The 14,160-nt window shown below is 36.6% G+C and overlaps 1 protein-coding gene across 5 annotated transcripts in view; it reads right to left on the bottom strand.

The window, feature by feature from the left end:
- DCC (DCC netrin 1 receptor) overlaps nt 1–14,160 on the bottom strand; it is a 1,195,703-nt gene that overhangs the window by 195,102 nt on the left and 986,441 nt on the right. For all 5 annotated transcript variants that reach the window (NM_005215.4, XM_017025568.2, XM_017025569.2 and 2 more), the window contains one exon: nt 891–1,085. In NM_005215.4, the coding sequence (NP_005206.2) occupies nt 891–1,085 (195 nt within the window). The remainder of the gene's footprint in view (nt 1–890; nt 1,086–14,160) is intronic.

Genomic DNA, 14,160 nt, shown 5'->3' with positions numbered 1-14,160 from the left:
GGTCATGTAATACGGTATTAAATCAACAGGTAGAATCAACTTACATTTTGCTTTATGAAAATTGTTTAACTTACTGGCATCCTGATATATTATATTTACTTTATTTCTCTGTGTTAATAATACAAACTCCTACAGCACTATGGGAAATCAGATCTAAAATGAATATGAACACTTTTACACACATTAGACCTCTCTGAATGAACACGTTTTCAATGAATTCAGAATATCACAACTGAAGTATTGTATTCAGTAAAAAATGAGGTTGAGTTGAGTACAATAAGAGAACCTAGATTGGTAGGGGCAGGGAAACATGCAGGATGGAGTTTTATCATTCTAATGTATTGTCTTGACTGAAAATTCCTTCTTTCATCTTCTTTTGCAGTCATAATGACACAGCCTTTAACATTCATATTTGGAATGTTAACGGTAAAGAAGGCACTATGACTAGATATTTCAAGGTTAAAGAAAAATTAACAGAACATTTTCCCAGTGACAACAACAAAGATGAAAAATGTGTTGACTTTCTTTTTATAGAAATTATTAGGATCAGAAGTTTCCATTGACCACTGGAAAAAGAAAAATGGCCCAACGCACTTTTTGTATCCTATAACCCATAAGCAAGGGCACACACCAGAGCAACTGCCATTACAGATCTCTCTAGATCAAATTCCTGAAATCCCAAATTCAAAGAAATGTATATGTGTGCCTGTGTGTGTGTGTATGTGTGTGTGTGTGTGTGTGTGTGTGTGTAGATAGACAGTTGCTTTCAGAGCTAATACATGCTGTAAGTTGAAACCATCATACCAGGGAACAGTTTTCCAAGAAATACAATAATTCAAAATAAATCATTAATTCCCCTTAATAGAATAAAAAAAATCACAGATACTCACCTAACCTCTCAATGGAATAATATCGCTGCTTGCTGTCCACACGCACTGTCTCAGCGTAAGGGCTCCCAACGCCATAACCGATAATATAACCTCGCACCACGATGTTTGGGTTCAAGGGAGGAGTCCAACTCATGATGATGCAGTTAGTCTGGGGCCTCACATGAAGAGAGCTTGGTTGATCAGGAACTTGAGATTCTAGCATTCAAAAAGAGGCATCATCAGCATGTCTCATAACAGAAAATGTAGCACGGCAGAACACCATTTAAGCAAGAGAAATCATATTTCATAGATGCATAAATAATGCATCACCTATTGCCCAAGTCACTCTTTATTTTAGCATATGATATATTTTCTATGTTTGATTTGACTTTCACAAAATTTCTTAAGCATACAAGAATACCGAGTTCTTTCCATGGGCATGGTAGGTAGCATCAATGCATCTTTATTCCAATAGCGTCTTACTTGGGCTTTTTTTCTTTTTACATATCTCTTCTTAGGTATCATTAATGAAGGGTGAAAACCAAGGCAGATGTAAGAATAATAGACTGGAAAATAAAATGTCAATGTTGTCTTATCCAATAATTATTTACTCTGATTTAGCTAAAAACAATAACAAACTAACCAGTCCTTTCTTATGTAATTGTCAGGAGAAACAGTTAAGGGCCATGATCTGTCCAGCATGATTAGGATGGTACTTGATTCATGGTTTATTAAATCAGTGAAAAATGCATTTATTATTAAAAGAAAGAAGACAGTGGCCTGGATTAAAGCCTCACAACCTTTGGACCTGTGCAAATTTGGTTTAATGCCACGTTCTGTCATTTACCAGCTCTGTGTCCTCATGAAATTATTTCACTTCTCTGAGTTTCCCTTCTGATTAAGTTGGCATTCCAAATATTGATTGACTCAAAGCTTGAGCTCGGGAAGTAAGAAAGAGCAGAGTTCAAACTTGTATTGTATACTCACTGTCTGTGAGATTTTGAGATATCATTTATCCTCTCTAAGCCTCAGTTCCCTACCTGTAGAATGAAGGTATGGTGTTGAAAAGATTTAATGAGATAATTCATGCAAACTTACCCATTATGAGTAGCAAATAAATTCTCAAATATTGCTAGATATTAAAAAGAGAATGTGCATGCCACCCTGACATATATTTTCTTTTAAAGGGATTGTGTGTTGAAAATTAATATGTTTTAATAATAAATTGTTCTGATTTTTATGTTGTCATTCTTCGCTGTTTCCTAGTCTTAAAAAAATATTTTTTTCTGGACACTGATCATTATTCAATTAATATTTATTTATTTGTTGAGACGGAGTCTCACTCTGTCGCCCAGGCTAGAGTGCAGTGGCACGATCTCGGCTCACTGCAACCTCCGCCTCCTGGGTTCAAGCAATTCTCTGCCTCAGCCTCCCAAGTGGCTGAGATTACAGGTGCCTGCCACCACATTTGGCTAATTTTTGTATTTTTAGTAGAGACGGGGTTTCACCATCTTGGCCAGGATTATCTTGAACTTCTGACCTCGTGATCCACCTGCCTTGGCCTCCCAAAGTTCTGGGATTACAGGCTTGAGCCATCGTGCCCAGCCAATTAATAAATATTTATACAACAACTATTATGTTTGAGGTGTGAGCCTAGGTGCCTGTAATGTTCAGGATACAGGAAGAACAAATATGGCAGACATTAAACCTGCACTATTGGAGTTTATAGTCTAATGAGAAACAGGCAAGTAAAAAGGCAGCTACGATAGATTATGGTAAATATTTTGATTGGCTAAATACAAGCACATGTAACCTATTCTTTGAAAATCAGGGAAGTATTATGCAAAGATATGTAAGAAAGAATGTGCCCATCCAAACTTCAATAAGTGCTTAACACAGTTCTTGGCAATTAATAAGTACTCAAAAATATCAGTGATTTGAATTTTATTAAAGTGATTCTGTTCATTATTTATGTTCCAGAAATGTCTGTGTCCAGTGATTTAGAAAATCTCTGAAGGTAACATATGCCAAATTATGCAAGGAAATCTGATGACTAGAGGTAATATTACATTTTTCTCCTTAATGTAGTACCAAAAACTGGCACAGCCCCCTCCACTTTTATCCATATGCAGCATTCCCACTTCTAGCTTAAGTGATAGATAGAAGCATGTTCTTATTAAAGTTTTCAAAATAGGTAACATTTTCAAAAGATTCTAAAGCTTTTCAAAAGATTCTAAAGTTGCCACATCGACAGAATTTTCTAAAGATGCTTTTTTTTCCCCCAAAGATGGCCCTTTGTGGGCAAAAAGGGAAAGCTATTATTAGTCTGCCCTAAAAAAGCCTATGATATAATATGCAAAGACATCATAAAAAAATTATGTCTCAAAACGTGGATATAAGCCTTAACAGCAGAAACACAATGTTTGTGAAATATTTCCTAATATAAACTCTAAGTAAAAGTAATAAAAGAGATGAAAAGGATGGATTAATAGTTTTCAACCCTACTGCCACAGTCTCACCAGTGCCCTTGAAATGTAATGGACTCTCAGTCAGTTCTGTTTAGCATATTTGAAGTGTTTGCACTAACTATTAAAACAACAAGATAATCTGCCTAATCGTACACTAAGAAAATAAACTAGATCTTCTGCATTTATGACTTTTTAAAAGCAATATGAAATCATAATGATTTTAATGACAATATTTAACATCTTTTAGAATAAAAGGAAAAACTGTTCAACTGTTAAAAATGTTTTCAGAACAGTAACTATTTCTTAATATTTCTGCAAACCATAGAATAGTTCTCTTGCAAATTGGTTAAGTTAGTAACTACACAATTTTATTCATCGGAGCTTTAAACATATCATTGTAATGTGTACACCAACTGGCTCTTGAAGAACGTAAGACTCCACTTTATCCTTCACTGCATGAAAATGTTTCAATCCTAGAGGCAAGCCTCAAAATAATTTTTAACATTAGAAAAAAAATGTTAGTACGTAAGAAGATATGTTGCCTCTTCATCTAAATCCTAATTAGTTTTGTGTGTTTGAGAGAGAGAGACAAGATCTTGTTCTATCTCCCAGGCTGGATTGCAGTGGTGAGATCAAAGCTCATTGCAGCCTCTAACCCTCTGACTCAAGCCAACCTCCCACCTCAACCTCCCTAGTAGCTGGGACTACAGGCATGTGCCACCACGCCCAGCTAATGTATTTATCTATCTACTTATTTTATTTTTATGTTTTTGTAGAGACAGAGTTTTGCTATGTTGTTCAGGCTGGTCTTGAACTCCTGGACTCAAGCAGTCCACCTGCCTTGGCCTCCTAAAGTGTTGGAATTATCGATGTGAGTCTACATGCCCAGCCTTAATGACCCTTTATCACCAAATTAAGCTCACAGGACCAAAAGGACAGTTCCTTCAAGGTAGTATTAGACCTAAGCCATTCATAATATATGGCCTCATCATCATGATAACTACGCCAGGAGATTGTTCATAATCCATGATAGCCAATTTATGCCCACTCACTTCTTAATACAAAGGCAGAAATAACAATTTTCCTTTTATGCTACCTGAGTGATTTTTCTCTAACATAGATGACCTTATGGATTAGGAAAGTGGTTACTACTGGAATGAACTATAAAACATCAATTTAGAAAATTTGCTGTGGAAGATATATAATATGACTATTACTTGCTTGGAGTCTGCAACTGAAATTTGCTGCTCAGAAGTACATGAAACATTTTACAAGTATCTCTAAGATGCTGCTTGCACATATGAAGCACAGAGGAATAGTAGAGTAGTTATTGAGTTAATTTGAAACCAAAGAGCACATTTTGCCTGAAATATTTAAATTAATGAAGCCTGATATGGTTTGGTTGTGTTCCCACCCAAATCTCATCTTGAATTGTAGGTGTCACAATTCCTACGTGTTGTGGGAGGTACCCGTTGGGAGGTAATTAACTCACAGGGGCGGTCTTTCCTGTGCTATTATCGTGATAATGAGTAAGTCTCTTGAGATCTGATGGTTTTATAAAGGGGACTTTCCCTGCACAAGTTCTCTTCTCTTGTCTGCCGCCATGTGAGATGTGCCTTTCACCTTCTGCCGTGATTGTGAGACCTCCCCAGCTATGTGGAGCTGTGAGTCCATTAAACCTCTTGCTTCTGTAAATTGCCCTGTCTCGGGTATGTCTTTATCAGCAGCATGAAAACAGACTAATACAAGGCCCCAAATTTTTACTAGAGTCTGAATGATCAAATAACTAGGTCAATTGCCACTCTTGATTATATTATTGAATTATGGATTCTCTCTTGGTATAGTTTGGTTCTAAAGAACATGTTATTTTCTGTAACATGTATGTAGGCATGTTATTCTTTGTAACATATGTAATATATGTAGACGTGTTATTCTCTGTAACATGAATGCAGACATGTTACACAGGTTTCCACTAATGTGTAATGTTCACATGCAGCATACTCGGTCATGTATTATATTAATCCCTGTGACATTTCAACAACTACTATGCATCTCCTATATACTAGTTGTAGTTCTAGGTACTAAAAATATAGTGGTGGGAGAGGAAAGACAAAACATAAGTCCTAATAAACAAATAAGACAATCGTGAGATCTTGATAAGTGCTATGCTGATGGGACAATAACTGACCCATCCAGGAAATTCTCCCCATTTGAGTCTAAGGTGGATGACCTGAAAGGGCCAGTCAAGCAAACATCAGAGTGGTGAGCTCTGTAGGGAGAGGAAACAACTACTGCAAATGCTGTACTGCAGGGATGAGTTTGGTATTCAGAGAAACCAAAGAGGATCATCACATCTGGAACATCAAGGGTAAGAGAGAGAATGAAAAAGATAAAAAGAGAGTCAGCCAGTAGGAATGTACAATAGTATACCTGCTATAAAGAAACCATATAAGGGTCCCTCAAGAAATTTAAAATAGAATTAACATATGATCCTGCAATTCCTCATCTAAGTATAAATGCAAAAAGAATTGAAAGCAGGGACTCAAACAAATATTTGTACATCCATGTTGATAGCAGCATCATTTACAATAGCCAAAAGGTGGAAGAAATCAAAGTTTCCACCAATGTATAAATGCATTTTTAAAATGTGGTATATACACATAATGGAATAGTATTTGGCCTCTAAAAAGGAAACAATTGAATTTTTGAGACACGCTACAAGATGCAGGAGCCTTGGCAATGATATGGTAAATGAAATAGGCCAATCACAAAATGACAAAAACTGTGTAAATCTCCTTTTATGAGGTACCCAGGGAAGTTAAATTCATGGAGACAGAAAAGAGAATGGTGGTTGCCAGAGGCTGGGGGTTGGGGAGGTTGGCAGTTATTATTTAATGGGTACAGCACTTCACTTTTGCAAGATGAAAAGAGTTCTGGAGATGGGTGGTGGTGATGGCTGCATGACAACATGAATGTGCTTAATGCCACTGAACTGTATACTTAAAGATTGTTAGGATGGTAAATTTAAGGTTTTGTCTATTTTTCCATAATTGTAAACAATTACAAAAACAGAAAAAAAAGAGTGAGTCACTTACAGACCAGGTTACTATAGGCAAGGCAAGTCAAGATAAGTAAGAAGTTAGGTTTTATTCTAAGTAGAAGGAGAAGATCTTAAATGGTCTTGACTGGCAGGAATGGAGGTGTGAAGTGTGGTCTCATTGATATTACTGAAAGATCACTCTATTTTTCTGGGTGAAAAAGAAGTTTGGAGAGGAAGCATAGAATGAAACATGGAGACCATAAAATTGCTTTTGCTCTTGTCTAGATGGCTGTTGTGAAGATGATATAAAGTGGATAGATTTAGGACATTTGTAATGTGTAGTTAACAGAGCTATAGAGTAGATGTGAGTGGTGCAGGAAAAGGGAGATTTAATCATAACCCATAGGTCTTTGACTTGGTAACTGTTGGTTGATGAACTGAAATGAGGAAACACAGGTGAGATTTCCTTGGGTCATGTTCAATGTGAGATGCCTATTAGTCAAACCTGTGGCTATCTCAAGGAAGTAGTTGGGTATGTAAGTCTGGGATTTTGGTGAAAGGTCATGGCTAGATATACACAGATGTGGAAGCCATCAGCATATATGTGGTATTTAAAATAAATGTGTATGAATACAGATATAGTGTGAGCATGTATATAGAAAACTGCAATTAAGATCATGTTATTGCTCTGCTCAAAACCCCCCAAGGTGTTCTCAAACCACATTGTAGGCCATGTTCTTTACAATGGCCTAAAAGGCCATAAATGATCTCTCTCTCTCTCCACTTATCTCCTACCTTCTTCACCTGTCATTTTGCCTTCGTTCACCTCACTCCAGCCATCTACTCTACACTGGATACTTTGTTTTCCTCTTAGGGGACAGCAAGATTTGTCTGTGCCAGATCTTGGTAATGCAAACAGTCGCCACCACATACTGCCTGCTATAGATGGCACTGTCAAGTTGTGTCAGGCAGTTGGAACTTTTGACAAATATTCACACATTTGTCCTCCATTTAGCGTGCTGCATTTTATGGATCATTTTGTTAGAGTTTTGTTCTAGTCCTCAATAGCCTATATTTCTTTACAGCAAACTACATAAGGCAATTGATATACCCACACTCTGCCTTTCCAGGCATGTCTGATGCTTACAAATGTGTTCATTTCTATAGACAGGGCCTGTTCTCACCAAAGGACATCACTTCCCTTAGGCCGCTCACCTCTATAAACTTTAAAGGCTGTTTGTGTATTTATCATAGTGGACAACCACTTCTATTCACCACTGAACTCTACTTTGTATTCTTTTACCATCCTATTTCTAATATTTTGTCAATATTCTCCTTTTTTTTTTTTTTTGAGACAGGTTCTCACTCTGTCACCCAGGCTGGAGCGCAGTAGCGCAATGCTAGCTCACTACAGCCCTGACCTCTAGGACTCAAGTGATCTTCCCACCTCAGCCTCCTGAGTAGCTAGGACCACAGGCATGCACCACCACACTTGGCTAATTTTTAAAAGAAAATTTTTGTAGAAATGGGGTCTCCCTGTGTTGCCCAGGCTGGGAATATTCATTTTTAATTTATTTTAAAAATATATATGCAGCAACATTTACTTAGTGGTAATAGCTCTATGGGTTTTGATAAATGGGTAAAATTTTGGTATCCACCACTCCTGCCATAATACAGAAAAATCCCATCACTGCCAAAATTTCCTTAGGCTGCCCCTTTATAGTCAAGCCCTCCCCCAATCTCTCATTATTAATTTTAATAATGAACATTAATATTTTCCCCTCCATGAATGGAAAATCAGTTATTCCTACTAATATTTACTTATTGATTTGTATCATTAAAAATTTTCAAACCATATAGGTTTTATTCTTGTTCCTAATAATGACTAAACTTTATGGAGACCTATTATGCATGTGTCATACTCATCAATTTAACAAATTTTTGCTCATGTAGCATTTCACATATAGTTTGTACTCTTAGCTATTCTACAAATTTTGTTACTACCACAAGTTTTTACAGTTCAACATTGTTTTGTAATTTTTAACTGCATTTTGTCTTTTTGTTTACTTTTAATATGTGTTTTCTATTTATCTTAATAGTTTTGTGTCAACCTAATCTTATTATTTCATATTTTACTTTATTTTTAGCTACTTTTTTTGCCTAGATAGAAAAAGAATGTAGAAGTCTAACAGGAGTCGATGAATACCTAGCCAACACTCTTAAAAGGGAGTTTTGACAGCTCTACTTCTTGAAAACCACAACAATGAATTGTAATTCTGAAAATATGTGTCTCCTAAATCTAAGCCAATTAAACTGGTAGATCTAAGGATGGAGAATCTTTCTTCTCCCATGTCCTCCAATTCCCAATATCAACACGCTTACTCCTAGTGAAAAGAAACGTAGATGCTAAAATAATTCACCAGAATCCACATCCTCTCTGCACCTTTGTACACTTGCCTTTGCCTCACATTGGTTATAACTCAAAAGGAAAAAGAGGGAAAAATGTAAAGTATTTTTTAGGGAAGAGACCCTCAATGCCATGCCCAAGGTTTATCCTAACAAAACCATCAAGATTCTTCCCTTCCTTGATTTTCTCTTGCTCAGCAAAGCTGCAGAATCCCAATTCCAGATTACAGATAGGATTCAGCCCTTTTTTGGCCCAAAAATTAGACAAGCGTGGTCTCTGTCTATCAAGTTCTTGATTTGACAAGAATCACCAGGGAGTTAAGATACATATTTAGGGTAGCAGGTTGGCATGTCCAACACAATACAGAGAAAATACAATGAAGTTTGGTTTTATTTAAACACTGCCAACTTCCTGAAATACTGAGATAACCTAATCCTGACTGTTAGAGCAAATACTCTTGATGTGGCTTTCAAGGAGCAGCTGCAGACACCAGCCCTTCAATATCTGGGGATTGTTCTCTCACTTTAGAGTTTAAGGATACCAGCTTCAACTATTGCAAAACCTCACTAGAACTTTGTATCATTCTACCATGAAGCATTTGATCAGCTACCTTACACTGAATAATCTCCATGGCCATTCAAACCGTAAACCTTATTCTGTATGGGGAGGCAGAGATCTTAGTCCTTGCCAAGTGGTATGCTAAATGAATTCTTTAGGCTCATTTTCCTTGAAGTGGATTCAAACCGTATGCTCTCAAAACTACAGACCTATTGGTTTGTCTCAGAACAAACAAACAAAAACACCATTGTAACTCTAAAATCTTATGCCAAGCTGTCTTCTAGAAAGCTAGGGTTTTCATTTTCATATTGTATATAAGCATAATAGGATGCATTCTACATTTATGAAAAAATACAACAGAGAGCAATGGATGTTTCTAGCTCATTTATCTGAAATTAGAGTTCGTATGTAAGGATGAAAATCAGTGAAGAATCAAACTATGTAAGTGTTACACATTTCACACAAATACCCAGCTATGAATATTTTACATTCACCCATCCACTTATTATTGAGTACTATGTAGCAGGCACTGTGTGAAATATCGAGAAGTTCAAGACAAAGCATGGTCTTTGTTTCAAGTCTATTGAGAAGAGTGTCAAAATGTGTTTAGAGAAAAGACATCTGAGTGAAACTCAGATAAGAGAAAGCTTCCTAGAAGTAAAACATCTAGTGAGTTTTAAAGGACAAGCAGGTGTGAAATATATGTGAAAATACACTTGGGTAAAGAGCTTGCTAAGTCCAAAGGCTTGATCCAGGATGCAGCTGAGGAAGTGAACCTGGAGGGCAGTGCAGGTAGGCAGGCAGGATGGGATGTCACACTTGAGGCTGAGGGAAGGACCACATGGAGAAGAATCTGAGCAGCGAACTGACATCGTCATATCTGGTTCTGAAAAAATCACTCTGACAACACTATGGGGTCTAGAGAGGAGGGAGAGCAAACAGGTATCCAGAAAAATAGCAAACCTGAGGCTACTTTCAGGTGACAAATGATGTGAGCCTGACATAAAGTGTGGTGGTGGGTGTGGAGAAGGGAGGATGGATTCCAAATCCATTCTGAAGGTAGAAATTACAGATCTTGGTGATTGAATGGATATTGACAGGGAGTGAAATGGAGTTGAGGGTGATAGGGAGGCTTTTGGCTTGGATGACAAGTGATTATTGGTACTAGTCACAAAGTGAAGAATACAATCAATCTTAAGGGAAATGATACTTTGAAAGATCAGCTCAAAACCTCCAATTGTATAAAAAGACTTGTGGTTGAGTCACCCATCTTTGTTATATTTAAAAATACCTGAAGAAAAAATGATGACAAAATCCTTACAGCCACCTGGGGCCTTTCCAGTTTTGAATTATATAAGATGTGATGACTTTACCCTCCTTTGCCTTCAGTTCCATCACCAGAATCAACCACTGTCAACTAGTTTGATGTAAGAGAAGAAAAACATTTTCTGTTCTGCTAAAAGTACTGGCAATAGTTTCACACTATTTAGTAACTAATCTGCAGCTTGAGAAGCTAGCTTTATTTTTATATTTATTTCTCAAATATACCTAGATAGGGGCTGTTTCTATGTTCTGTTACATTTATCTGTCCATTCCAATGCCAGATAGTACTATGCTGATTCTAAATCAGGCTTTATAGTAAACGTTTTTATTATCCTTTTCCAAAATTTCTTGGGATTCTTTTACATTTATTCTTCCATATAAATTTCTTTTTCCACCCCAGAAAATCCTTAATCATTTAAAATTTACTCTGATTAGAATTGTCTAAAATTATTCATTGATTTGGAAATAACTAATGTAATAATGATCAGTTTTTTCATCCAGGAACATATGTAACTTGCTATTTACTCATGTCTTTTATAGTTTTTAGTAAAATGTTGTATTTTTTATGATATACATTTGTTTACATCTTGTTAAATTTAGTCCTAGATATTATATTTTAGGTTGCTTTATAAATGCCTTTCTTTTCAATGTTTAAACTAATTATTGCTACTATAAAGAAAAGCTATGTTTTTGAAACATACAACCTTATTAAATTCTCTTATTAGCTCTAATAGGTTTTTAGTGCAGTGTCTTGTAATATTCAAATATTCAATAACACCATTTATAATAATAAGATTTCTTTCCTTTTGTAATAAAATGTTATGAATTTTTAAAGTTTTTCTTGCCAAAACCTCTATCTTCTTTAATAACAGAAATTGTAGGAAGTTTTTAAGCTTGTTTGGATCTTAAAACAAATGTGTTTAGTATTTTACCATTTGGCATAATGTTTTAGTTTTTTGCAAAAACAATACAATTTTGAAAGCTTGCTTATATTCCTATAATATTTTTTTAAAAAACTGCCTAATTCCACAAAACGCCCTCTTCAATCTATTGCTATAATTATATGATGCCCCATTAAATTATACCTTAATTAGATGATGGGCTTTTAAGATGTACTGAATGTACACTCTCCTTTTGTAACAGAAATGGATACATCTGTTCCCTAAATGTAGACAACAAAGCTTTACCATCATGAACAAGGAGAAGTTTCATAAAACCAATGGTCTGAGTATTTCATATTACTGTCAGAAAGAACTGCAGTCATGGCCAGGTGCAGTGGCTCATGCCTGTAATCTCAGCACTCTGGGAGGCTGAGGCAGGCAGATCACCTGAGGTCAGGAGTTCAAGAGGCAGGCAGATCACCTGAGGTCAGGAGTTCAAGACCAGCCTGGCCCACGTGGTGAAACCCTGTCTCTACTAAAAATACAAAAATTAGCCAAGCATGGTGGTGGATGCCTGTAATCATAGCTACTCAGGAGGCTGAGGCAGGAGAATCACTTGAACCCGAGAGGTGAAAGTTGCAGTGAGCCGAGATCACACCATTGCACTCCAGCCTTGGTGACAGAGCCAGATTCTGTCTAAAACAGCAGCAGCAACAACAACAACAACACAACAGTCAAAGTCTGAGATCTTCTTATGTATCAAAACCAGAAAAATCAGAAGAACAACACACTGTTGAGCACTTTGTTGCCATTATCATAGTTAATTCTCACAAAAACCCACTGTGATGGATACTGTTGTTATGCCCTCTTTACACATGAGAAAAACCAAGGCATGGGAAAGTTATTTGCCCAAGAATATAGGGTAAATGGAGCTGGATCCAAACCTAGTCATTAAGACTGCAAAACCCACCTGATCCTTTACATGGTACTTAGAAAAAAGTCAAGCAACTCATAGAAGGATCAGACATTCCATGGGCACATTAAAGTTTGTTATAACCAAGTAAAATACTTGCAACTTCACTGAACTTTTATCTAAGTCAAAGCAACCTGTGCCATCCTTTGTACAGTGGAACTTTGAGATTCTGAACAACCACTTGCACCGGAACTGAAACAGATACCATATTGCTTTTAAAAATCAGTTTTTGCTTTGCCTGCTATGCTCCTTATGTGTAAGATGAAATCCACTTGAATGGTAATAAGGGGCTGAGTCTTAAATTTCACAGTGGAATAGCTACTGTACCACTGGTCCATCAAATTCCCCAAGCCTATCTGTCAATTATCATAAATCATAGCATATCATAAATCACAGAATATCATAAATGGTCCCTATCAAAAGTACAAGAAAGAAAATCTATTCTATGACATGCCACCTTCACTCCTCTGTGCACACCAAATCCCATATGAGCATCAAGTGAAATCACCAGAAGAACACATTCTTTTGCTCACTGGTGTAAATCGCACTCCTTACCCCAATTCTTAAATGAAATGAATTTGCAGCGAACCCATTTATTACCAGTTTGGGTTAATAAGGCTGATTACCTATTTCCTGGGGGCAAGAAATTAGGGCCAGCTCCTAGATTCACATTTTTTTGCTGCATCACTGTTGCACTTTCTTAAGTCTGCACTGCCGACTTTTGATAGCTAAACTCCTCCACTTCAGGGTAGAGAGTCGATTTTAAATCACATGATTATTGATAGCGTATAGCAATTTTCACCTCTTCACTCCAAAAACAAAAGTATCATAAACAGATTTCCAAGCTCAGTTTCTTGAAGGATACTTTGTTGAACTCTATCACTCTATCACAAATTCTCTCATTTCTTTATGCAAGACATTTACATGAAAACCCTAGGGAATTCTAATGATCTTGGTTTGCTTTTTTTTTTAAGCTGAAATTTTGAGGCACAAAATAAATATTTTAAAACTTCCCAGCTGTCAGTAATAGCAACGTGCTTTCCAGGGAACGCTGAACAAACAATGTGGTTTGGTTTTATAATTACTTTAACAAAACATCTAATTAAAAGGGCAATCCAAGAGGACTTGGGGTATTTCTCCAAGCTACAGTTATCTTCACAATGCTTAAGCCAAGTTGAGAAGGCAAGAGGAACTACAGAAGTCACAGGAGGCAGGGGTTTCCTTTAACAATCTGCAAATAGCACTGTTTCTGTTTAGCTGACTTGCAGGGCTCAGAGTTATGCAGTAATGAGTAGATCATTCTCTTGGCGATCACCATCAGGCTCTGAAGCAGGGGGGTAAGTTATACAACATAATGCATCCAGAGAGGCCTAATGATGCAGTTACCTTCCAACACAGATATCTTCAGCTACAGCAAAGAATGCCTCCCATTTCATGTGGTTTAAAATGATTGCTTTTTCTCCTTATCCTTAATTTTTGGGAGATCAAAGCAATTCTATATGGAAATTTCTCACTTCAGAGTGTTAGGACTCAAAATTTAGGACCCAAAGCTTTCCAACATTAGCCAAGAAACTTTTGGTGCAAGTCATTTATACCTTATTTTATGATTTAAACATTTACACAAATACATTAAAATGAGAT

This window comes from Homo sapiens, chromosome 18, assembly GCF_000001405.40.
Source record: "Homo sapiens chromosome 18, GRCh38.p14 Primary Assembly".
NCBI classification, from domain to species: Eukaryota; Metazoa; Chordata; class Mammalia; order Primates; family Hominidae; genus Homo; species Homo sapiens.
This window is presented reverse-complemented; position numbering and strand designations above follow the sequence as displayed.